The following is a 25,298-nucleotide window of genomic DNA, read 5'->3' as shown; positions in this document are numbered from 1 at the left end:
CACTGAAAAATTACTCATTGTTTATCTGACATTCCGATTTCATTGGCATACTGTATTTTACTTGGCAGCCTTGCCCTCAGATCCTAGCCACAGCTAATCCTCTCAAAGCAGGGAAGCTTACTTCAAAACCAGCTATGAAGTCTTCTCTCTTCATGAAAGACCCAGTTCCTTTTTTAAGGGTTTTTACCTGATTTAGCCGGACCCATTTGACTTGCAGTCATCCCAGTTAGATCCTTAATTACATCTGAAGAAGCCCTGCATGTGGGTCCTCTAGCGGAGCCTCATCGTGGATGTGAGGTCCCGTGGGCCCCGCCCACCCTCGAGAGGGGTGCACAGAGCAGAGGGCGGCAGTCCAGGGGTCTCCTCACACTCCTGCCCCCTGCAGGGCATGACGGGCAGTGACAGTGTGAATGCCTTACCTGGCTTTTTCATAGCTTGAATCAACAAAATGTTTATTCATATTAAAAGTACTGTTAGTATCTCATTTTGAAACTGTGGCCTTGGTACTATAAATGGTGATTTTACAAAACACACACTTAACTGCTTAAAATTGGCAAGTACATTGTTTGAAGTCATCTGTTTTGTTCTGCAGGTGATAGAGGCGCCTGGTGCCTCAAAATGTATTGGCCCCGGGTGCTGTCACGTGGCGCAGCCCGACTCGGTGTACTGCAGTAATGACTGTATCCTCAAACACGCCGCAGCGACAATGAAGTTTCTAAGCTCAGGTAAAGAACAGAAGCCAAAGCCTAAAGAAAAGATGAAGATGAAGCCAGAGAAGCCCAGTCTTCCGAAATGCGGTGCTCAGGTGAGTGGACCAGGACCAGCCGCCCAGGCAGTGGACGCACAGGCGTGAGAGCGTTTGTCGCAGAACTGTTGGTTTGTAGACCGTGTGGGGGTGGCAGGTGTAGGGGGGCGCACACGTGGTGTCGCCTTGACCTTTGTCTTCCACCTTCCCACCAGTTTTCCCTTCTCTGCCCGTTAGCTGAGGGGTTAATTAACACAAGTGCAGTAAAGCAAATGCTGACAATGGCAGTGTACGGGGGGCATAAGACTTCAGGACACACCCTGCTGTCTTGTGAGAAGAGTTGGTAACCACCCGGTGGAGTTTGTAGAGCGTAGACTTGCAGGCAGGTAGGAGTGGGAGGCGGGTTCGGGGCAAGGCTGTGGTCTTCATTTAAGACCCGGCTCTCAGAGTTGTCTCATGTTTGTACTCCGTGTTATTTGGAAAGAACTCCGTGTTATTTGGAATGTTTAGAGATCGCAAACTCTTGTCTTAGACTTGAAGGCCCTTGTGAGGCTCAGGCGGCGGTGGCTGTGTCACTGCCCCGGTTATGTTTGTGACCAGCAAAGCGCAACTAGCACTGTTCAGGGAGTTTTCTTGATTATTTTCAAATGATTATTTAGCCTTTGAATGACTTAATTTTTAAGGCTGGTCCTTTTGAACCCTCGGCGTTGGGCACAGCCTCGCGCGCAGGCCTTTCCTCTCATTTGGCTCATTTGGTTCATTGCCGCACTCCTCCTGTCATCTTGGCAGCCTGTCCAGTGGCTGCTGCTCCTGTCATCTTGGCAACTTGGCACCTCATCAGGGTTGCAGGTGACTCTGTGCCAGCCGCCCTTCACGGAGCACAAGTGGTTGAAGTTCTCAGTTTTGCACGGGGAAACTGCGGGCCCACCGCGGGCCCACCGAATACGCAAGTGTGTTGAACTGCTGCCAAGCAGGCGCAGGATGGGTGCAGGGTCTTCAGATGGCCTCAGGAAGACATTGGGTCCCCGCCTTCATCTCTCAGTGAAATGAAGTGAAGGTATGATTTCTTACCTTTTTAATGATTTGGGGTTTTACTGATTATCCAGGCAGGTATTAAAATCTCTTCTGTGCACAAGAGACCAGCTCCAGAAAAAAAAGAGACCACAGTGAAGAAGGCAGTGGTGGTCCCTGCGCGGAGTGAAGCACTCGGGAAGGAAGCAGCTTGTGAGAGCAGCACGCCGTCGTGGGCGAGCGATCACAATTACAATGCAGTAAAGCCAGAAAAGACTGCTGCTCCCTCGCCGTCACTGTTGTATAAATGTATGTATCACCTAGGGGTTGGCCTCCTGGACCCCTCCCGTTCTTTCTGGATAGCCATCCCCTGGGCCTGTCCAGGACTGGGAGTTGCAGCTTTGTGTTAAGCTGATCACAGACACCGGCTGCACCATCAGCGGGAAGCAGAGCCCATGTCCAGGATGCCTCCTGCTGCCCTGTGTCCATCCCTAGTCTGTCAGGACTTCCTGTCACTGTTTTCCAAAGCTGTAAACCTCACTGGTGAACGTTCACCTTAATGATTGATTCTTTAATCTCTGTTTTCACTCTCAGGCTCTGGTAAGTATTCGTATTCTCTTCATCCCAGTCTGATTGCATAGCCACACTGCCCGGCACGCCACATCCACCCCTGTCTGCACATGAGTTGTTCTGACAACAGCGCTGTATACGCTTCAGTTTTTCCACATTGTCCACGGCCAGCACATGAAAGCATCACTTCTTTTTTATGTTGTGGGAATCTTTGCAAGTTAGTGTTGCATCTGATTTTCAGGTGTACATTTATTTTTGACTGGGCAGATAGGGGATTTTTTTTTTTCCATGTCCGATTCACACGCTACACACCCACATGAACACATTCGAACTTCGAAGGCCACACACTCCTGCTTCATAGGCCCCACGGTAAGTGAGTTCACACCTAGAACACTGTCCTGACCGCAGGACGCGTGCCTTGGACTTGGTATTCTACATGTGACTGGCTTTCTTGCCCTCGTCTCTTGAATGTTTAGACTCTTAAGATCATATCCTGCCCCAAATTTCAAATTAATGAAATGAAGATATTTCAAACAGATCTTTGAAACCTCAGATTCTGTGGTGCAATTTTAATGTTTTCTTGTTTCTCAGTTTTCTGCTATAAAACTATTTTCAATTCAGTCTTTAATGCCTTCTGTCTATAGTGCATTTTGTGCTTTTTTTAAAAAGCACCGAAAGGTTAAATAGTCTCAATTCAAAGATGATCACAGAGTGCCCCACTTTCCCGTCGTCAGACTTTGAGCAGATTCCCTAAGGGAAGGCACTCATGCAGGCAAGCAGACCTATGCTAGGTCTGGTGTGCCTTACAAAAAAGACACTTTTTTTTTTTTTTTTTTTTTTTTTTTGAGACAAGAGTCTTGCTCTGTCACCCAGGCTGGAGTGCAGTGGCATGATCTCGGCTCACTGCAAGCTCCACCTCCGGGTTCAAATGATTCTCCTACCTCAGCCTCCCAAGTAGCTGGGATTACAGGCCCGTGCCACCATGCCTGGCTAATTTTTGTATTTTTAGTAGAGACGGGGTTTCACCATGTTGGTCAGGCTGGTCTTGAACTCCTGGCCTCATGTGATCTGCCCAACTCGGCCTTCCCAGAGTGCTGGAATTGCAGATGTGAGCCACAGCGCTTGGCTAAAAATATGCAGTTATTGAGTATGAGTAGCTTCATAAAAGAAGAAAAATATGTCCCTCGTTTTGATCATGTAAACAGCCTAGACCTAAGAAATTGAGCCGCACATAAAATGAATCATGCAATTGCTGCATTATAATGAATCTCGATACCTTACATTGTTTGAGCTGAGAATTTTATGCTAGCAAATGTCTCAAATGTTCATCAGATTCTAGCACCTCTACGATAGAGCAGTTCTACAGAGCTAATGGGCTTAAAGTGTCACCCACCTGTGAATGCAGAGAGGGATTTTTAATGCTGTACTAAAATTTAGCTGTACATTGGTTTTAGACACATAACAGTGAAGAAAAGAAAAACTGCGGTTATAGCCTCAGTTCAGATAAGTGGGTGATAATTTCAGTTTGGTTAATTTCCATCTGTGTCAACCAAAATTGAAAAGCTGCCAGAGACTCCACATGTGGAGTTGGAAGAGTCCGTGTACATTGTGGGGAGGGAGCATTGGTGGGAAGATGGGGAAATGAGGGGCTCTCAGCCCTGGGTTATTGCTTCCTGCCTGCCTCCTGCACTGTGAGCGGGGAGAGGTCGACCAGGAGGCTGCTCTTCTGCCCATAGCGGGGTACTCTGACCTCTTCTCCCTCTTCCCTTCTTTGCCACACATCAGCTCCTCTGGGAAGCTGATTTGCTCCAGGGACAGGAGGTGGGGGAAATTGCCTGTTAACCTTCCCAACACATCACCTCAAGTTAAAATTGGTGGATTTCCAGAATTTGTATAGGATGGGAATGGGGACGACACACTTTTGAGCTAGTAGCTTCTGCTCGTTTTGTTATCCCGTAAATGTTGTCTTCCCAAAAGGTGATTGATTGGAGCAGAGTTAGAGACATTGGTGACAGCAGCTACCATGTCTCTGCCTCTCCCCTAAACACCTCTGCACTTTTGTAGGCTCAACAAGTACTGGGGAGCCTGCCACCACTGTATGCCTTTGAGGCCCCTGCCCTGCCTCCCTGGCTGGCCACGGAGCTCGCCCTCCCTGGTAGGGGGTGAGTTTGGAAGTGAGAGGCTGGTGTGGGTCTGTCCCATGAGCTGACTCACACTTGCCTCACCACACATACCATCAGAAGACCCACGTGGTGGAGCTACCGCTGCTGCTCCCCACAGTGCACCTAGGCACCCTCCTGTCCTTCCCATGGCACTCGGTTGACCTGGGGGTTCCTGTCCAACAGGTGAGGCCTGGTGTGCACAGACACTCTGCCATTGCTAGAAGGAGGCTGTGCCCCCTGCTAAGATATCAGTAGGTCCTTCACAGCCTCACCTTGTTCCTCCCATTTGTTTTTAAAAATTGTTTCTTATATATACAGTTTATTTAGCTTACGTAAACATTTGGTGCACATAACTTCTCTCAAAGATCATGATGTTTCTTTTGTGGTTTTATAAATTCTTATTCCATTTTTTTCTCTTTATTTCCACTGTTCACCTCCCATTATTGTCGAGGCATGAAGTCAGTTGGAAATGTTTTTCTGAGATGTACCTGACTGACTAGAATTTTGAGATGGAATTCTCAAAATTTTGAGATGGTATTTGATAGGTGCAATTTCTAGTATTTTGTCTCCCTAAATGGCTCATTAAGTGACTTAAACACTGAGGATCTGAACAGATTTTGACTGCAAAGCAGATTCTACAGTTCGTTTCATCTAACCGTTGGAATTAAAATGGAAAACGTTGCCAGTTTGTAAACCCAAATCCAGATGCTGTGTTAAGCATGGTGCCCAGGTGGAAGCACTGCCTCTTGTTCCCACGTGCTGCCACAGAGATGGCCCTGGTGGGGTGAAATGGACGGAGAACACCGTTCACAAGGATAACTCATGGTGTGGGCTCCAGAAGCACATTTCACTGAAATCCTAAGAGGACCCAGTCTCAGTTTTCATTAATAAAAAATACATGGGGGGATTCTAGAACCTAAGAGTGTTTTGCAGGAATTTAAAGCCGGGAGAGGAGGGTGGCTTGTTTCACTGGTCGCGTGAGCTCTTTTTTTATCTGTCTCCTCCAGAGTTGTCAGCGGCAATAAAACGAGACTGGGAGTCATCAGACTCTACGTGTCCACCAATCTCTTCCTCCCAATTAGAAAAATCAGAATTTGTTCTGAGAAAGAATATAGCTTGATAGTTGTTTTTTTACGTTATCCATATAACTGGAAGTTTCTTGGCTGTCAGTAATGACATTCTTTTGTTATTTTTAAGTGTTTTACTTTTTATAAACTTAAAAAGCAGCCTGCCATTGAGAAAATTACATCAGGGAAAGGTTTCACACCTCCGTAACCGTGACCCTGCACGGTGAAGTCCCACATCAGCACCGTCCCGTGGTGCCCCTGTCCATCCCTCAGGTGCCCCTTTGTGCTTATGCTTCAGCCACCTTGGGCAGGTGGGGTGCAGGGATGGAAGTTTCCAGCAGGATCGGTCCCCCTGAATTCACCACCTCTTCAGTGACCTTCATAGGACCTTTCGGAGCTGTGGATCTACTCATAGTCTAAAGATGAATACTCGGGAAAGCCTCCTCGGCATTCTCGGTGTCACAGAGTGCAGAGGTCAGCTCTGAAGACGCCTGCTACAATTCCTCCAATGTGGTACACAAGTTTCAGGTAGATTTGTATAAAGTTGTAAAATAATACTAGGTTTTTTTTTTTTTTTTTCTGTTAACACATCAACATACACATAGTTATATTCTTAGCTTCTAAAAGTTAGAGAAGTAACTTAGAATATTGACAAGAATTTTTGCTACTTATTTAAATGAAGGTTGCGGCAACTTTCATTTGCCGCAAACCTGGAAGAGTTCGGCAAGAAGAGCTTAAGGTAACTGGCTTTATCCTCAACTGACCTGCTTGGTGCTGTCAGCTAGGGGCTTTATACTGAGTATGGCCCTTTAGGACTGGAGGGATTACAGGGGAGGGTTGTGGACTAATTTTAACATGCCCCTAACATGTTGGTTTAAGTAGTAAACAACTTAGATAAAGGTTAAATTACTCGTGTGGGAGATCTTGGGAAGAGCAGCAGCTCTGCTCCCAAATGGGCTTGGCAGCCAGGCACACACCATGTGCAGCTGGGCACAACTGAAATTGCAGTTGAGTGGAACGTCCATCTGTCCACGTGGCCCTCATCACACGAGTTTCTTAGGGAGAATTACACACCTCTCCATTAAGTTGGAAGGCACTCAAGTAGCGGGTATTAGTAAGAAAACTGACCAAGGAAAGCTTTGAGTATTCCAAAACACGGCAGTCTAGCTGTGGACCCTGCAAGGGCGTCCTGGCTGTAGTGATGGTCTCCTCTGAGGAGCGTCTGCGATGTAGTCTGCCTGCTGTATTTGGGAAGTAACTGTTTCCCCGCAACATGAAAGCAAACTAGTAACTACTTATAAAAGGCGAATTCATGTGAACACATTCTAGCATGTTGAGAGGAGCAAAAGCAGAACATTTTCTCTTGCCGCTGCCACCTTGATTGTTCCCACTAGGGGCAATCTTGGAGTGAAGAAACAGGTAAAGCAGGAAACTGCATTGTTGTACACACGCCTCACTGAGGGCTGCAAATAGGCCTGACGTCACAGTGAACAGAATTTACTTCCACAGTTCCTTCACTGACTGTTGAGTCTGTTTTCAGGTGCATAGCATAGAAACAGCCCTTAGAGCTGTAGCGGATGGTGATAGGCAGGATTCAGGACACCGTGGGAGACCAGTGGAGGTCTGAGTGCCCCAGCTTCCCTAAACCAGCCAGCAGTACCGCGACAGGGCAGGCCACTTCATTGTCAACACCTACGTGAGGGCGTGTGGTGTTTATTTTAGTGATTTTTATAACCAGTTCCTTTCCCTGTGGGGAGCCATCCAGCACATAAGGTTGCTACATGGGGGCCTCTGGACAGTCCAGAACTGAGCAGACTTGGTCTCTTGCCCCATATTTTAATCCCTGTCCTGCTAAAACTTCCACTGGGGCAATTGGATGGGTTCTGCAGAGAGGAGCGGAGTAGCACCATCCTCCAGTGGGGGCCTGATTTTCTCCTCCCCGTCTCTGCTCAGGCCCTGGTGCCACCCAGTGGCCAGAGGCGCTGTAGCACCCAAGCCAGCCAGCCTTCTGCTTTGGGGGAAATTGGCCAATTAGAGTGTGCTGCTGATCCCTGTGCACGACGACGACCTGCTTCATTCTGCAGTTGGCTGAAACCCAGACCCGGCAGCAACAGTTTCATCTGGGCCAGTGGCCTGGGCAGGCCCCCAGAATGTGGGAGCTAAAGGAGACAGCACTGCGACCAAGGGGCAGAGAGGTGTGGGGAGGGGCAGGGGACCCCTGGCTCTCAGGCATCAGTGCTGTGCGGTGTGACCAGGTCACCACCACTGCTGCCCCCAGGGGGCCCAGCAGCGTGTAGGGGAGGCTCGTACCCTGACAGAGCCCTGTGTTTCTGCAGTGGGGTTTTTTCCTGGGTTGCCTGGAGTTGCTGCTTGCCCTTCTCTGAAGTTATACACAACGTAATAGTTCAAAGCAAATTTGGATGAACTTGCAAATTGAATTTTAGCTCCACTAAAAAGTTTCTGTCCCCATTTCAGCAGCAGCTGACCCAAGTTGAGCACCAGCCATGCTGTCCCACCTGGAGTGGAATGGGTGTGTGCTCGGGTCCCTGGAACAGTTGCTGGATAGAACATGTCCGTTCAGAGCAGGAATGGGGCTTTCTGCGTGTTGTAGGACACTGCTCCCAGAGGCCCGGCTTGGAACATTCTGCCGTTCACTCACCTGACTGCCCATTTCCATGCTCTTTAAAGCACAGATGAGGGATGACAAAGGTTGCCTTTAGAAAGGGAGCAGTTAATTTTCTAAAATAGCAATGGTTAAGGAAAGCTATTTCCTGCTTTTAAAATAAATTACGTTAATCTGCTGCCCCCACTCTTGGGTAATGGGTGGTTTTAAACCCATGTACTGGGAGTGCCCTAAAACTCATCTCTCAACTCGGGTTTTCCCTAAGTGAGGGAGACAATAGTGTAGTTACACGAGCAGAAATCTGAGTGTGGCCATGGACGCCTCATTCCAACACTTACGATCTGGAGAAATGGAGTTGATGGTTTTGAAGGTAGCATGTAACCCTAACTTGCAACAAGGTGAGCGTTAAACATCATTAAAGATACCGTTCAGGTCACAGCACACAGGTGTTCTGTGTGTCACAGCCAAGGCATTTTGCCGAGGTTTCTGGAAATGCTTTCAGCCAGCTTTTTTAGAGTTCTTTAAACGTGATATTAAAACACTCCAAGGTTTCTAGTGCAGTCACTGAATTGGTTTGAGGTTTCAGTTTGAATCACGGTTGGCTTCCCGGCAGGTGTCTGTCTGCCGCCTCTGGAGACCGGGGCTTGGTTCCTGGTGCCTGCCTGGTGTCAGCCTCCTGCCGGTGTGCCTCCAGCGCCCTAGGCCTGCTGGGCCTTTTCATTCCATCCTCACCCCACCCCCTCGCTGCTTCCCCCAAGAAAAAGGGCCTCCACTGATTTTTATTTAACCTGACTGACCTATTGCAACCCTGCAGGCAAGATGCTGCAGACCTGTGAGCTAAGTCTAATGAGTTAAACTGAGTTGTTAAAAACAGATTTTCAAACACTAAGGTAGTGACTCCTGGGGTGTATAGACCTGATCTGATGACATAGTACATGTGGAATTAAAAGCAAAGTTTCCTGGACAGATAAAAACTAGCTGTCACCTTTGTTCCTGTCGTGTTAGACGTTGCCATTTTTTATAGTGCGCTTTTAAGATCCAGCTCCAACAGGAATGAGTGTTTTGGGGTGCGGTTGTGGGTGAGGAGACAGGGCTTGGCAGTGTTGCCAAGGAGGGGGTCCTGTGGCTGGACCACATCTAGCAAGGGGTAGGCAGGGGCCGGCCATGAGGTTAGAAGGGTCCTAAGATGAAAATACAGGATTTGCCTTTACTTAGTTACCATTAAAATGATGGTTAGGAAAGAACACATGGAAATCTTGAAAGTCGGGGCGAATATCTGTTAACAGTGACACCATTGTTTGAAAGTTGGGGTATCTGTTAACAGTGACACCGCTTTTTGGATCCATGTAGTACTGTTGCAAGTTTTGTAAAAATGGAAGGAGTTGTACTTATCTGGGAAGTTGGGAAGACTTGCAGCCCTGAGGCTGCTGCTTGATGGACTGGCTGCTGGGGAGGGCTGGCACCCGCTGCCAACGTGGCCAAGCCTGGCAGCACATGCGGGATATCCTGCAGGACCAAGCTGGGGCAGGCTGTTGAATCAGGCCTTATTTGTAGAGTCTTGGCTCTTTCCTGAGCTTTCAGACTTACCTCATTTATTGAAAGCGGTCAGTAAGACGACGGGGGAGGAGTGCGGTTTGATTTTCAGTCCCTGGGTAGAACTGAAGCGCTCTTGGGAGCATCTGTCACATTCTCCCATTTAGGCCTTTGGGAGTTTTGGAGGCTTGCTGCTGTACCGATCGTTGGAAAAGCCTTTCCTCAGGAGGTGCCTTGTTGACTTGATCACCCGAGGTAGCTCCCAGGCACTTGCCTGTAGAGCTGAGATGGCCTCTGCCATCCTGGGGCCCTCATGGGGGCCCCCTATTCCCCAGGCGTTTCACTCTGCTCCACTAGCTGGATCCCTGCCCCGGCATGCGGTGCACCTCAACGAGCCCTGTCCCCTGGCCATCTGTCCCCTGGCACGCCGTCTGTCCCCTGCTCGAGGGCCTTTGGGCTCTGACGATCTCACATGGGGTTATAAGGTGATTGATTCTCTACTGACATAGAAAGCTTTTTGTGCAAGTTGAGGGGGTTTGATGTCTTTGAGCTTTTAATTATAATCCTTGTTTGGATTCATACTTCACTTAATGGAATTACAGCCTGAGGGCTGTGAATGGACGCATTCCTGTAACAGCATTGCTGCGTTCTCAGCTTCTCACTCTTCACGTAAAGGTGTGGCTGCTCTTCCTGTGGTTCAGGTGTATGCCAGCTTTCCATATTTTTATTAATGGCATCGCCTCCAATGGACTCCAGTCTGGAAGGACAACGAAGTGAGATGTGTAAACCCCACCCACCGGGCTAAGAGAGCCTGTTTTACGCTTCTAAACGGTCTTTTTCACTGAAGTTTACAAACAGTTTGCACTTGAATTCATAATGATAGTGCTGCTGTAAATCTGCCTTTTAAAAAGTGATGATAGGAAATTGTCCTTCAGCTTTGAAGCTTAGCTAGTGCGCAAGTCAAGCCTTTAATAACTAGAGTTTGCTGGTTGAAGGTAAAAGATAGAATAATAAAGCATTCTTCTTTCTGAAATAAAATGTAGTCACCGTCATAAATGCTGCTGGCGGTCCTCCCTTACACTCCTCTGAACACTAACATTTTACAAATCCTTTTCTCTATGTGTATCCTATTCAGTAATGCCAGGTGGGCACTTACAGGTTTAAGGGTAAGTCTGCTTTTTAGAGTCAGGTGACAGCACCCTGTGGTGTCCTCCCTTACTCAGCGCCTGTGTTCTTCTTTGTAGCCACGAAGGAAGACAGGAGGTCCGAGGAGAAAGCGGCAGCCATGGCAGCCTCAAAGAAAACAGCCCCTCCAGGCTCCGCGGTGGGCAAGCAGCCTGCACCTAGAAACCTCGTGCCAAAGAAGTCTTCTTTTGCTAATGTGGCAGCAGCCACACCAGCCATTAAAAAGCCACCCTCAGGTTTCAAGGGCACCATCCCCAAGAGGCCATGGCTCTCCGCTACCCCATCGAGTGGTGCTTCAGCTGCCAGGCAGGCCGGACCGGCACCTGCAGCGGCAACGGCTGCCTCCAAGAAGTTCCCTGGCTCCGCTGCTTTGGTGGGAGCCGTAAGGAAGCCAGTGGTACCTTCTGTTCCAATGGCCTCGCCAGCCCCAGGACGCCTTGGGGCTATGAGTGCTGCACCATCGCAGCCAAATTCACAAATTCGGCAAAATATCAGACGCTCCTTAAAAGAGATTTTGTGGAAAAGGTGGGCTGTTCTGCTTGATTTCTTACCCATTAAAATGGAAGGGCTTTCATTAGAGTGTGGCTGCAGGATTGCCTCACTGTTCAAAAAGTTTAATATACACAAGTGTCTTATGTAGTTCCTTTTTTTTATTCTGTTCAGAGTCAATGACAGCGATGACTTAATCATGACAGAAAACGAAGTAGGAAAAATTGCCCTCCATATTGAGAAGGAGATGTTTAACTTGTTTCAAGTTACAGATAATCGCTACAAGAGTAAATATCGCAGCATCATGTTCAACCTGAAGGACCCTAAAAATCAGGTGTGTGCCTGGTGTCGGTGCATTGGAGTATTCCTGTTCTGTTCGCTGGGTGCTAAAGGGATCAACCAATATTTTGAGATGTTCGTGTCCTTTCCAGGAAAGCTAAGACGTTTCTTTCTCCTCTGTGATCCTTCTGCCGCCCACGTATTGTTGCACTGGCGTTGAGCGTCCTGGAAACCCCTTCCCTTCCCTGCCTTAACTAGGGTCGCGTCCGCTTCCTGGCTTCCCTGAAGTCCACCTTTTATCACCACATTAGTCTCCTGTAAACATTGCTGTAAAGGTACAAGCCAGTCGCTTCACTGGGCTCCAAAATAAAGTCCAGTTCTTCATCCCAGTGTATGAGGGTGTCCGTATTCCGGCCTCAGACAGCCTTTTCCACCTTATTTTCTCATATTCCTCATCAGCCGAGTGAGCCTGATGGTTTGGGCTGCTTGAGTTCTCACCACTTGGAGCAGGGGCTGCTCACGCCCAGGTAGTGGGATCAGTCCTTCCTCACTGCAGCATGGGCCATGCGACGAGGACAGAAACTCCAGCTGGGAGGGATAGGCCGCCGGGCTGACAGCCTTGTGGTGTTCTCTCTCCATCGGCCTCCAGGCTCCTCCCTGTTTAGAATTTTAGGATAATGAAATACCCTGACTTTGCATCTCACCATTGAACAGCCCTAAACAGAAATGATTTCTTCCTTCCTTTGTTCCTGACGCTACCTTTTTGACTTGTGTCCACCTTGTGTACATAATTGTTTTTCCTGAGGTGTTGTGTGTTGTTTTTTTTTTAGCAGAGCCAGTGCAGCACAGGCCGTGAAACCCACTGTTGAACCTTATTACCTGTGCTCTCTGGGCTCCCATTTGCTCACAGCAGGGATATCCTGGGGCGCACTCTCATAAGGCCGTTTGGGGAGTTAGGTCACACCCTGCAGGGAGGGCTCTGCCCAGTGCCACACGCAAGTGGGCCCTGAGGGCCTTTGTCCTGTGCCCGCTAAACTTCTGGGCAGCTGTGTTTTCCAGAAGCTCTCTGTATTGACAGATATAGGAATATTATTTGAGTAAATGAAAAATACTTGTTTATAGGGACTCTTCCATCGTGTTCTGCGTGAGGAAATCTCTTTGGCGAAACTTGTGAGACTGAAGCCAGAAGAACTTGTATCTAAAGAGCTTTCCACGTGGAAAGAGAGGCCAGCGAGATCTGTGAGTGCTGAGGGGTACCTGCGGAGGCACCCAGGACTCGAGCTTAATAGAAATAAATTCATAGACGGCTGCATAAGCGATGCTTTCCTCCTAGAAAACAAGGCCTAAGCTCTGTTTCGTCTTTTTCATTTCAGGTGATGGAGTCCAGAACTAAACTGCACAATGAAAGCAAGAAGACGGCCCCCAGGCAGGAGGCCATCCCCGATCTGGAGGACTCTCCGCCAGTGTCGGATTCAGAGGTAAGCATTTGGGAGATTTTGTGTTCACCGAGAATAGACTAATCCATCCCAAATGTTTTGAGGTTATCTTAAATTATTGGGCAGGACCTGAGCTTACAGCAGGTGTATGTCATTGTGGCATTCCTCAGTCCTTGTATTAGATGGTCCTTTTTTCTCCCCCGTGGGTCTCAATCCCATGAGACTGCTTTTCTTGTGTGTGGTTAATTTGGAGCTGAGTTTGGAGAAGAAACGACCTCACTTTTTTTTCTTTTTCTTTTTTAGGAACAGCAAGAGTCAGCACGTGCTGTCCCTGAGAAGAGCACAGCGCCGCTTCTCGACGTCTTCAGCAGCATGTTGAAAGACACCACCAGTCAGCACCGCGCACACCTCTTCGATCTCAACTGTAAAATTTGCACAGGTGAGCACAGTGCAGGGGATGGAGCCTTGGAGCTGAGACTAAACTTGATTTTGTTAAAAATCACTGAACCTCCTAAAAGCAACCGCACGTAAGCTTAAACACGCAGAAGGGCCAGAATGATTTCCTGCCCTGCCTTTAGAGTATTGCTTTCGGCTTTGTGTGAGAAACACCAGTGTGCCGGCTGGGTTTCTCACAGAGCCTTTCCTCGCCTTCTTCAGGCCAGGTTCCCTCCGCAGAAGATGAGCCAGCTCCGAAAAAACAAAAATTGTCAGCTTCTGTTAAGAAAGAAGACTTAAAATCAAAGCATGACAGCTCTGCACCTGACCCAGCTCCGGATTCAGCTGATGAGGTGATGCCGGAGGCTGTGCCTGAAGTTGCCTCTGAGCCAGGCCTAGAAAGTGCTTCTCATCCAAATGTGGACAGAACGTATTTCCCTGGGCCTCCAGGAGATGGCCATCCCGAGCCCTCCCCGCTGGAAGACCTGTCCCCCTGCCCAGCCTCCTGTGGGAGCGGGGTGGTCACCACCGTCACAGTGTCCGGCCGGGACCCCAGGACCGCTCCAAGCAGTTCATGCACAGCCGTGGCCTCCGCAGCATCCCGCCCAGACAGCACCCACATGGTGGAAGCCAGACAGGATGTGCCGAAGCCTGTCTTGACTTCTGTGATGGTGCCCAAGTCCATACTAGCTAAGCCATCCTCATCTCCTGACCCAAGATACCTGTCAGTTCCTCCGTCACCAAATATCAGGTGCGTACTTCAGGTGTGGTCTGAACAAGCCAAACTTTTTTTTTAGATTAACGAAAGGAAAGATAACTGGTGATTAAATAGTTGAACTTGGAAATGTAACCTGAAATACAGCTTCACTCTTTCATCTTTTAAAAAGCCCCAGTTGTAGGGTGCCTTATTGTCCTTTTGGAAGTAGAGATCTTAGAAATTGACATTTAAATTTGTGCTCATCCAGTTTTGTTGCCTATTCACTTTATTTTTCTTTAACCAAAATGTCTGTATCATTTTAATTAAAGTAAGTAATTGGCAAAAGTAAGCTACCAAAAACGTAAAACTTGCAAGCGTTCACTTTTGCTTTTACATATAAAGTCTTTGTACTCTTGAAGCCGGGCACAGTGGCTCACACCTGTCATCCCAGCATGTGCTTGAGCCCAGGAGTTTGAAACCAGCCTGAGCAACATGGCAAAACTCCATCTCTACAAAAAAGACAAAAATTAGCTAGGTGTGGTAATGCACGCGTGTAGTCCCAGCTACTTGAAAGGCTGAGGTGGGAGGATCACCTGAGCCTGGGAGGCGGAGACTGCAGCCAGCTGTGTTGCACCACCGCACTCCAGCCTGCATGACAGAATGAGATCCTGTCTCAAAAAAAAAAAAGGCTTTCTACTTTTGAAATTCTCATTGCACAGAGAGACATTGACTTTTTTTTTATGGTTTTGTTTTACAGCACTTCAGAATCACGTTCCCCTCCAGAGGGAGACACGACCCTCTTTTTGTCTCGACTCAGCACCATTTGGAAAGGATTTATTAACATGCAGAGTGTGGCAAAATTTGTCACTAAGGCGTATCCTGTCTCTGGGTGTTTTGATTACCTCAGTGAGGTTAGAACCAAGAAAATGTGTGTGCGTGTGTGTGTCTTTCATAGGAGTTTCTAAACTAGAGTCAAACACATGACTTTCTCCCTTAATTCATGAGGTAGGAGAGAAACAGAAATGCCTGACACTCTTGCAACCGTCTGTCTGGATGCAGAAACGGCTCTAAATGCAAAGTGGCGATGGCCGTGATGAGTCCGCAGGTTCAGCAGTTTGGACAGGGTCGGAAATGTGAGCCTGCAGTCTGGCCTCTCAGTGATCGGTTTCGCTGGGGCACTGACCACATGGCTGTGCGCACAGCCACCGGCACAGCCAGGTGTTCGGAGCCTGCTTTACACACACCTGGCCACTTGCGGGGTGGCGCATATGACCCCGTGGCAGGCCTTTTAGTTTTCAGAATTAACCAGAAGACAGCACTAGCATTTATGACTTTAATGCAAGGAGTCACCCTGGCTCATAGTGAATCGTTACTCTCTGTGTATGTACGTAAAGACAGCATAGAAGTGTTGGGCAGTCATTTCTAAACATAATCTTGTCTGGCAGAAGGTTGGCATCACTCCCCCTTTGGATTTGGCCACTTGTCATCCTGGACTTAATGCATTTAATACAAGTGTGACTCTTTTCCTTGGAATAGCTGTAGTCTTCTTGAATCTTGGGTAGTGTGTGCCTTCACATGGCTGCATTCGTCTTTCTGTGACTACTACAGTTCAAAGTGATTTACGCAAAGTACTTTCTGTTTAGGATTTGCCTGACACAATTCACATTGGTGGGAGGATCGCACCGAAGACAGTTTGGGATTATGTTGGCAAACTCAAGTCTTCTGTGTCTAAGGTACCTGCTTATAGTATAAATTCTGCAACCATGGAAAATTGTGTTGATTTAAACACATCTTTTTTTAACCTCTCGTTTGGATGGGTTAACACTTAAAATGTTAGCCTGTAGCTTACTAGATATTTCCAGGTGAATGTTAAAAATTAAGTTTTGCAGTGAGCCGAGATCGCACCACTGCACTCCAGCCTGGGAGACATAGCAAGACTGTCTCAAAAAAAAAAAAAGTTTACATAGTTGTATGACTGTGTGAAGGTGTCTGAGTGTGCCGCGGTAGAAGTTTGTTTCTGATTTATTATAATGTATGTGCGGTTAAATTTTAGGAAGAAATAGATACGTTTTATTTTCTTGTTTTTTTATGATTGAAGGAGCAGAAGGTGTCTTTTGCAGGGGTGATCAGGCTCAGGGCACTCAACCTGGGCTCTTGAACGGTTCTGGTTTTCTGGGACCCCCTGAGATTTAGCTACAGCTGTGCGTGTCTGTCTGTGGTTTTCTCTGGGGAATCTCTGTAGTCTTCGTCAGGTTCACGAAAGGGCTAGACCCTGTCGTCTAGTTTAACCCCCTCTAGGGAGGGGCACAGACAGCCATTGCAGATCATGCAGCTGGTTCCTCGTGACCGGGGCCGTCGTGCATGTAGGAAGAGCCGGCTCGGCTCCAGACACTGCTGGGCTCACATGTCACGTGAATTGCCTCACTGAGACAGCAGCTCTGTGAGATCGTGGCTGTGAGTCGGAGAGATCTGACAAGGTTTCCTGTTGAAAGCAGGATGTGAATTGGGCGTGTGATGCTTGAGCCACATTTTCTTTATGAGTGCTTCCCACTCTTCCATTGCAGGAGCTCTGTCTGATCCGCTTCCACCCCGCCACAGAGGAAGAGGAGGTCGCCTATATCTCTCTCTACTCCTATTTCAGCAGCCGTGGCCGCTTTGGTGTTGTAGCTAATAACAACAGGCACGTCAAGGACCTCTACCTGATCCCGCTGAGCGCCCAGGACCCTGTTCCATCCAAACTCTTGCCCTTTGAGGGACCAGGTAAGCGCCGGCTTTCTGGGTGGAGGTGAGGCCCACCTGCACCTGCACCCCTCCTCCCACTGACATGCCCTGCTGAGTCCTGACCAGCCCAGGGCTCTCTGGGAGCAGGAGTTAGGAGCACAGACGCAGCGGTTAGCAATAGGATTCATCTTTGAGGGCGTAGGACTGTGGCACGAGAAGTACCCCTGATTCACAGCATAAATTGTCTTAGGAGAGTTTTTTAGAGAGGGAAAAACCCACAGCCTGCAACCAGCTCATCTTGGCCTCAGGTCAGAGAAGACTCAGTGCCCAGAAGCCCAAGGCTCAGCCAGAAAGGGAGGTGACACTCCCAGCGGCCCTGCTCTTTCCTCTAGACAGACTCGGGAGCCAGCACACACCGGGAAGTGGCTCCATCAGGGATCACTTCTCTAACAGGGATGGATTTCCAGGAGACTTAACAATAATGACATAGAAAACTATTTCTAGAAATAATTATTTTAAAATCTGCAGCTCAAATTGTAATAGGTTCATTCATCTTTGGCAAGCTATTTTGTGTTTGCACGTTCCTTGGAAAGTACTGTATTTAAACGATTATTTACAAATAGCCTAAAATACATCTTTGTCAAGGGTTGAGGGTGATTCCAGGGGCCACGTGCTCTGTTAGTGACCAGCTCTTTCATAGCCCCTTAGAAGAAGCTGATGTGACTTCAGTTAGGGGTTAGTATCTGATGCCCAACTGAAGTGTCTCCGTGGCCATGCAGTCCCCAGAGGATTGGTGTTCTCTCAAAGCGGGTGTGTGGATCACACAGTGTCCTCTGAAGTGCTTCGTCATAAAGGCAGGTGCTGTCTGGACCCTGTGCCTCAGTGCCCTCTGTCCCTGTCACCAGGCCTCGGCGGGTGTTCCTGCCATAGCTGTGCAGGGTGTTCCCACCCACACCCCTCATGCCGCACCCTAGCTAGCTGGGGTCCTGTAGGGGCCACTCCACATCTTGGGCGGGACTTCTGTCGCCCCAGGCACAGCCCACGTTCCTACTGGAGCCCATTCTTCACAGCTGGAGTGGGCTCAGCCTATGCCTGTGTTGTGGAATTATATGTCCATAAAGGGATTGGTTGGTATCAGTAATTTCAGGGTTAAATATTTGCTGGCGTGGTGCATTAAATTATTTTAGTGCCAGATAAATTTTTAAAAGCAAAGTGCTTTAGTGTGTCCCCTCAAATCCTACTTGGGATAAAGAGATGCCACCTAATGGGTGGCAGAAAGGACCCTGGTAGAGGTTCTTGGTGTTGCTTGTGAAGAGCTCTGGCCAGCTCCACGTGACCAGGGAGAGGAAAAGCCCGGCCCTCCTGGAGGTGAAGACCGAGAAGCTGGCCTCTCCGCACCTGTGAAGACCCACTGGTCAGTTGCAAGTGCGACAGTGTGTGCACTCAGTGCAGACACTGCAGCACCTCAGCACCTCCCTACCGGGGTGGAAAGAGCACTTTTTCTTTACAGAAACATGATTCTTAGATAGCGAGCCTCCCCTTTTTAAAACAATTGAGGCGATATTTCATCCTTTCTTGAGCTTCTCTCCCTGCTCATCTCCAAACTTGGAGCTGTCAGGTGAGCACGGTTGTAGGGTGTTGAGCGAGCCCCGGCGCATGCCGGGCACCGGGTTCCCCACACTGGGCAGTGACGGGGCCCAGGGAGGCCACCAGAGGAGCGGCGCCTCCATTCTCCCCACAGCAAGGGCTGGCTGTGCAGGTGCAGCCCCGGGGCAGAGGGAAAGGACAGGTCTCCCAGCACCTCCCGGATGGCACCGGGACAAGGAGGGCTGGGCTGGGGTCACTCACCTTGTCTGCTGAGTGCGATGGCACCAACCACCCACACTGTCAGCTCCGCGACCAGCTGGGGGAACGTCACACTCGCCCACCAAGGCACTTGCTGAGGCCACGACGCCGCCTGACGGGGACACACAAAAGCCCCAGGGACTTTGATCCACGATAAAGAGCAGAGGCGTCTGGGTAAAGTAACACAGGGCAAGGGACTTTAGAAAAGTAACAGCTAGTGAAACCTTTCCATACACTTCAGAAATGTTTTAACTTAAGACTTCAGTATAATGTTAACTTCTCCTGATGTCCTTGTTGACATGAATGCGTGTGCGTGAAATCTCACACACTTCCATGGTCACTAAACAGCCTTCACCCCGGGCCAGGCCATCGGGTACTCGGCCCGCTTCACGTACTGATTACTTGACTTGGCGTTTTCTAGATATAAACATGTACATGTGTGTCCTGGCTTTGTGGTGTAAATGTGTAGTGCGTGTGCATGTGCGCGCGTGTGTGTGTGTAAGGCTAGGTCCTGGCATGTTTCCCCTGTCTCAGCGGACCCTGTCCTCACGGAGATAGCCCAGAAGCCCTTGGACAGCACAGGCCACACCTGAGGGTGCTGATGGTGGTGACTCCACAGAGCTGTGGTCAGGGGTGAGCGTGTGCTGCGCAGCTTGGAGTCACGCCCCCAGAAGTGCTGGGTGAGGGTCTGCAGGACCCAGCTCCATTCCACAGCCTCAGTTCTCTGCGGCACATGCAGCACAGGCCTGAAGGAGACCTGGCGCCCCAGCCTTGAGCTGCCCGTCTGCATCAGGGCACTGATGTGGGAGCATCTTCCCCTGGGGATGTTAAGGAGAAGGTCCTGTTGGGGGTAGAGATTCACGCAGAAAAGAGTGACTGACTCGTCCATGTGCCTCAGTTTATACCACACAATTGCAGGTGTCCATGCCTCCCACACATGGGGACCTAGTGGGTTTTGACAGCGTGGTGTCCAGTCCTAGCCCCCTCAGTGCTTGCTGTTCACACTTAAGCAAGTGAAGGCCTGAAGGTGCCCAGCTGTGCCCTCAGGGGAAACTTAAGTCACCCGCCCTGTCAGCACTTGGCCCTTGTCGGGCAGTGAGAGTGGAGCTGCCCCCGCAGCACCCTCAGGAGCCATGCAGTTCACAGCAGTAGCTGGATCTCCCTGAGGACATTTGTCCTTGCATATCTTAATGATTTGTCCACAGAAACACCGGGTTGTCTTCCTCTGCCCCTCTGCCCCGCAGTGGGGGCACTCTCTGTAACTCAGCATCACGGTGGGGGGCAGCTGGGAGGCCTGGTTCCAGGTGACCTTCTCCACCTAGATGTTCACCCCACTCAGTTCCAGCTTTACCAACAGGGCCCCCCGCAGGGACTTGGGGTCGCAGAGTCCCGGCCTGTCTCAGGGCCTTGTTCATGGAAGGGAGATGAGTCAGGTTGAAAGCTCATCGTGTAGGGTTCTGTGCAGGGCCCTTACAGGACTGGACCGCAGCCAAGATGCCTGCCTGTTAACCATGCCCAGCCCCCGTCATTTCCGCGTGAAGCCGCAGGCCTCGGAGCCTTGGTCTGAAATGCCTGTGGAGTAACCTCGGTCCATAAACATGGGTGCACAGTCTGTTCTCCCCAAGTACAGGGCAGGAGGAAACACCGCCCTCTGTAGCTGCTCGAATGGAAAGGGCTCTTTTCTCTGAGGTCTTTATACATTAGAAAGCTCTTCTGGGAAGAATGTTTGAATCCATAGTGTCTTTCTGTATTCACTTTTAATTGCTTTCTAAATTAGCTGAGAAATTCTGACTTGAAATATTGTCAGGTAAGCATTTCTTCAGTTTTCATGTGTGTATGTAACAGTAGCTTTGCATGGAAATTGTAATCAGAGTCAAATACAGTATTGAATGGAATGTACTGCCTTCTCCTCCTAAATCAATAAACATCTTTCATGGAAACTGGTCCTTGTTTGTTTGAATTGGAACCATTTGGTGGCTCCTGGTCACCTATCCTAGGCCCCTGTTTGCTTTCCATAAGCCAGCGCAGTGCACCCTAGTGTGCCCAGCTCTGCAGCCCACCCAGCAGCTGCTGGAGAGGACGCAGTGCAGGCTGGTGCTGCCCTGGGGCCCTTCTCGGCACCCCGGCACCCAGAAGAAGATGGACGTCGCTCTCCTCTTACCTGAGACGTGCTGGACCCAGTGGCTTTGTGCAGGTCTTAGAGATTCCCAGTTGGAACAAGGGAGGGTCTGTGTGTGTGTGAGTGGGTGTGTTTGGTGGGTTGGGGGAAGTCACTTCTTCCCACCTTAATTGCCAAGTCTTTCTATCCAAGTCATACGTCACCCCTTGTTGATTAACTTCCACACCGTTTCTGTTCCAGCAGGTGTGAACATTTTGTTTTGACAGGTGCAGACCATTGAGAGAGTTTTCATTTTAAATCACTGATAGTGGGATGTGCCAGGTGGCTTTAGGGGTAAAGGCCTCACTGTGATAGTTTGGGGTTGGGAGGAGTCAGGTTTCGGGTGGTTCATTTAGTAAGAAGGAGCGTCTTCCTGCAGCCTCAGGTTCAGTACCGAGGGTGCTTCCTGCACCCTGAGAAGCAGGTGGTTCCCTTTGCCAGCTGCCTTGTCCCCCAGTCCCTGTTGCGACACACCTGGACACAGATCCTGGTTTTGGTCTTGGCCCACACAGCTTTTCGAATACACCCTTTTATCTTCAGTTTCTTGAGTTCTTTTCCTGTGCGTGTGGTCTGATTCTGACCACTGAGTCCAGACCCCTCCGTCATGAATACGCAAAGGACACAGATGTGCTAAAAAGGCCTGTTGGCTTGCACGTGGTACGCCCTGAAGAAAGCCATTTGCCTTCTGGCCTTTCAGAGGGCGTTGGGGGAACATCCACACCCTTGTTCCAGGCCTGATCAGTACCCTTCAGTGGAAGTGCAGGGGCACGTTTAGCCGCAGCTGGCGTCTCCAGGCCCTGGTCCCTGGTTGCTCCTGAGCCCCGGCCCCTGGTTGCTTTATGAACTGAGGCCCTCAGTAGCCCTCAGGAGGAAGGTGGGTAAGTAAGCCTACCGTGCCCTGTGCCACCCGCAACCTGGCTGGTGCCAGCTTCGTGCAGGCCTCAGTCTCTGCACCTTCCCGGGGCACTCTCCCTCCCAGGGCTCACACACCACGGGGCAGCTGCCGAGGGGAGGGGCTAGCCTGGGAACAGCCCCTGGGCAACCTCGACTGCCCCCCTGAGGTGGGGGCTCTGTGACCTTTCGACCTTACTGGTCTGCTGGACATGCCAGGCAGTGGCAGGCACACCCTTTCCTCCAGGGGAAGATGGCTCCCAAGGTCCAGCCAGGCGAAGTGCACTGCTCCTTCCACGAAGAGTTATTTCCAAGGCGCCTGCCACATTTTACATATTCATGCAACCATACATAATAACAAACATGAGTTGGGTGACAAGATTTGACTGTTTCACAGCGGGTGTGCCTTTTTGGACAGCCCAATTTAAATTTTAAATGGCGGGGAAATTCAGAACGAGCACCCATCTGACTCTGCAGCTTTCTTTATTCAGTCACCAGTGTTTGCAGTTGAGAGCACCAAGAGCTGGGAGCATTTACACGTGCCAGCTGCGTGTTTGATGCCAATCTCCAGACGGTTGCTGTTTTCAAGACTAACGAGTCTTGCCAGGGTTGGGATATACTAATTATTTTTTTCATTAACAAGCAAGTTAGCCATTAAAAGTTTGAGTTCTAGTGACACACCACGAGACGGGACCACGTAACAGTGATTTTGTACATCACACTGCCACCCTAACAGCCCTTTAGAAGCTGAGTGTCTCCCTTGGGTGGCATGTCCCCTCTGTGTCAGAGTCAGCACTAGGCTTCCCCAGGTAACTTCCCCACACGAGGCCCCACAAGCCCTACTGCCCAGGGTCCTTCCCGAGGCCTAGCCCATGCCTGTGTCTGTTCCCCGTGTCAGGTTCTGCAGGCAGAGGGCCTGGCTTACAGAGCCCGGCTTACAGAACTCAGCCTGAGCCTCAGTGCCCTTCACCCCAGGGCGTGGTGGGCTCTGCAGATGTATGGTCCAGGAAGGCCATAATAGCCAATTTCATAACCGAACATACCCGAAAAGTGGATTTGAGTAAGCTGTGTAATAGCTTATTCAGTAAACAGATAGCTGTTGTGCTGAGAGAAATACCGTTTTAAAATATGTTCAACTCATGTTAAGCAGAACATGAACTCGACAGGTTTGCTGAGCAGCAGAGCTCAGCTGTGCCCTTCGGTGTGGCCCGGCTGGTTTTCCTGCTTCCCTCCTCCTCTGCCCACCCAGCCCTTTCACTGGCACCGTGCTACTATCCGGGGGACAGAGAGTGAAGAGGAGGTGGAGGTGAGGTGCTGGGAATCTCAGCTCTGTCCAGCAGCCTGTGAAGGAAGAGGCCTTTGGTCCTCTCTCCAGGAGGGAGGAAGTGTCCCGTGGAGCAGGCTGGTCCCAACTCAGTCTGGCAGGCCTGGTATTCCTGCCTTCACCCATCTTCCGTGCTCAGCCTGTCCATCAGTTCCTTAGTGGAATTTAGGGAGATGAACAACAGATGTACTTAGAACTACATGGTGGTGCCTGAAGCAGTCCGTGATGATCTTTAACATCACCTGAAGCACGGGAAATCATACTGGTTTTCACTGTAAGGGGAAGAAAATCTGTAGTGTGAGCACCTTTTGTATACCACAGTCACGTTAAATTATCTGTACCGTTGAGTTGTTACGGTTTAATCTCACATAGTGTTACGTCGCTGCCGCTGAAACGTCCCACCCACGTGTATCACTTTCCTTCAGCTCCTGTTTTGGGATGTGGGTTTTTATATTCCCCTTTGGCATTCTTGATTGATTATGAGTGTGGGGATGGTCGTTACTGGAATGTTAGTACTCCTGATTGAAGTTACCACAACTTACGACGTTGGGAATATCTTTGAATAATTTTTTTTTTAAACTAATACTGTGCCTTAAAACCCCCAGTGCGCGTCGTCCACCTGCTCTGCTCTTTGCCACCTGTTTGCTGAGCACCTCGGTGCTTTACGTGAGCGTGGTGTCTGTCCTGTGTTTACAAAGACATGAGCCTTAGGGAGTCTTTGATATGTTAATGCTCACTGAATTTCTAAACCCAAAACATTTATTTTATCTTTTTTCCAAGAGAGTCTCACTCTGTTGCCCAGGCTGGAGTTCAGTGGCACGATCTCGGCTCACTGCAACCTCTGCCTCCCAGGTTCAAGCAGTTCTCCTGCCTCAAGCCTCCTGAGTAGCTGGGACTACAGGCACACGCCACCACGCCTGGCTAATTTTTGTTTTTTGTTTTGTTTTGTTTTTTTGAGACAGAGTCTCACTCTGTCACCCAGGCTGGAGTGCAGTGGTGTGATCTCGGCTCACTGCAACCTCCACCTCCTGGGTTCAAGCGATTTCTCCTGCCTCAGCCTCCTGAGTAGCTGGGACTACAGGTGTGCGCCACCACACCCAGTTAATTTTTGTATTTTTAGTAGAGACGGGGTTTCACCATGTTGGCCAGGATGGTCTTGATCTCTTGACCTCATGATCCGCCCACCTCAGCCTCCCAAAGTGCTGGGATTACAGGCGTGAGCCACCGTACCCGGCCCAATTTTTGTATTCTTAGTAGAGACGGGGTTTCACCACGTTGGCCAGACTGGTCTCAAACTCTTGACTTTGTGATCCACCCGCCTTGGCCTCCCAAAGTGCTGGAATTACAGGCGTGAGCCACCATGCCCAGTCCAAAGCATTTATTTTAGCCATTTCATTTAATGCTGTTTTTCCTGTCTAGTTGTAATTCTGACACCAGAGACTAATGGATGACCTCATGGCTTGTGCTTTATTGATTATTATGACTTTATTGATAATTTAATATTAGTATATTTAGAGTAATTATGTGTTGCAACTCCTAAGTTAAAGACAAAAAGGGGTCCGGGTGCGGTGGCTTACGCCTGTAATCCCAGCACTTTGGGAGGCCGAGGCAGGTGGATCACCTGAGGTCAGGAGTTCGAGACCAGCCTGGCCAACATGGTGAAACCTCTTATCTACTAAAAACACAAAAATTAGCCAGGCATAGTGGTGCATGCCTGTAATCCCAGCTACTCAGGAGGCTGAGACAGGAGAATTCTCCTGAACCTGGAAAGCAGAGGTTATAGTGAGCCGAGCTCGCGCCACTGCGCTCCAGCCTGGGCAACAGAGCGACACTCCATCTCAAAAAAAAAAAAAAAAAAAAAAAAAGGCTGTTTGTTACCTTCCTGGCAGTGGCACGAGGGGAAGAAGAGCATAGCTGAGCTGTTGTGTTGAGGGCATGTGCGACAATGCCCTTTTCACCCTGCAGGCTCACACCACGGCCTCCCTCCCCTCCACACTACTGCTCTAGCATTATAATTTAAAATATGTAACAAATTCAGACGATTGGGATGAATTCCCTTGTGGATTGGGCCTTCGGTTCCATGGTTGGTGACGAGGGGTTAGTCGCCCCCTTCACATGGCTCCGGGA

The 25,298-nt window shown here is 49.5% G+C and overlaps 1 protein-coding gene and 1 non-coding gene across 7 annotated transcripts in view, besides 4 other annotated features; both read left to right on the top strand.

Moving 5' to 3' along the window:
* The window catches only part of DIDO1 (death inducer-obliterator 1), a 60,162-nt gene that overhangs the window by 29,953 nt on the left and 4,911 nt on the right, over nucleotides 1-25,298 (top strand). For 2 of the 6 annotated variants that reach the window (NM_033081.3, NM_001193369.2), the window contains exons 5-15: nucleotides 593-805; nucleotides 1,852-2,065; nucleotides 10,956-11,421; nucleotides 11,560-11,719; nucleotides 12,787-12,903; nucleotides 13,038-13,142; nucleotides 13,404-13,539; nucleotides 13,758-14,286; nucleotides 14,990-15,143; nucleotides 15,876-15,965; nucleotides 16,797-16,992. In NM_033081.3, the coding sequence (NP_149072.2) occupies nucleotides 593-805; nucleotides 1,852-2,065; nucleotides 10,956-11,421; nucleotides 11,560-11,719; nucleotides 12,787-12,903; nucleotides 13,038-13,142; nucleotides 13,404-13,539; nucleotides 13,758-14,286; nucleotides 14,990-15,143; nucleotides 15,876-15,965; nucleotides 16,797-16,992 (2,380 nt within the window). Of the gene's footprint in view, nucleotides 1-592; nucleotides 806-1,851; nucleotides 2,947-10,955; nucleotides 11,422-11,559; nucleotides 11,720-12,786; nucleotides 12,904-13,037; nucleotides 13,143-13,403; nucleotides 13,540-13,757; nucleotides 14,287-14,989; nucleotides 15,144-15,875; nucleotides 15,966-16,796; nucleotides 20,739-25,298 lie in introns of those variants that run through there. The other 4 variants (NM_080797.4, NM_001193370.2, NM_022105.5 and 1 more) reach the window with 2 other exon arrangements.
* Nucleotides 406-455: a silencer, noted in NCBI's record as "silent region_13130". NCBI's record gives its function as "represses an Ori minimal core promoter by ATAC-STARR-seq in GM12878 lymphoblastoid cells {active_cell/tissue: GM12878}" and the evidence as "EXISTENCE:reporter gene assay evidence [ECO:0000049][PMID:35858748]".
* Nucleotides 7,161-8,015: an enhancer, noted in NCBI's record as "H3K27ac-H3K4me1 hESC enhancer chr20:61531289-61532143 (GRCh37/hg19 assembly coordinates)". NCBI's record gives its function as "activates a minimal SCP1, AML or CMV promoter by ChIP-STARR-seq in naive H9 embryonic stem cells {active_cell/tissue: H9 hESC(naive)}" and the evidence as "EXISTENCE:reporter gene assay evidence [ECO:0000049][PMID:30033119]".
* Nucleotides 7,582-7,831: an enhancer, noted in NCBI's record as "active region_18217". NCBI's record gives its function as "activates an Ori minimal core promoter by ATAC-STARR-seq in GM12878 lymphoblastoid cells {active_cell/tissue: GM12878}" and the evidence as "EXISTENCE:reporter gene assay evidence [ECO:0000049][PMID:35858748]".
* Nucleotides 21,688-22,218: an enhancer, noted in NCBI's record as "H3K4me1 hESC enhancer chr20:61517086-61517616 (GRCh37/hg19 assembly coordinates)". NCBI's record gives its function as "activates a minimal SCP1, AML or CMV promoter by ChIP-STARR-seq in naive H9 embryonic stem cells {active_cell/tissue: H9 hESC(naive)}" and the evidence as "EXISTENCE:reporter gene assay evidence [ECO:0000049][PMID:30033119]".
* SNORA117 (small nucleolar RNA, H/ACA box 117) lies at nucleotides 25,049-25,146 on the top strand. The gene has a single exon (NR_145839.1). It is a non-coding gene; the product is annotated as a small nucleolar RNA, H/ACA box 117 (small nucleolar RNA).

This window comes from Homo sapiens, chromosome 20 (assembly GCF_000001405.40).
Source record: "Homo sapiens chromosome 20, GRCh38.p14 Primary Assembly".
Lineage (NCBI taxonomy): Eukaryota > Metazoa > Chordata > Mammalia > Primates > Hominidae > Homo > Homo sapiens.
Note: the sequence above shows the minus strand (reverse complement) of the source record. Positions and strands in the feature narration are given on the sequence as shown.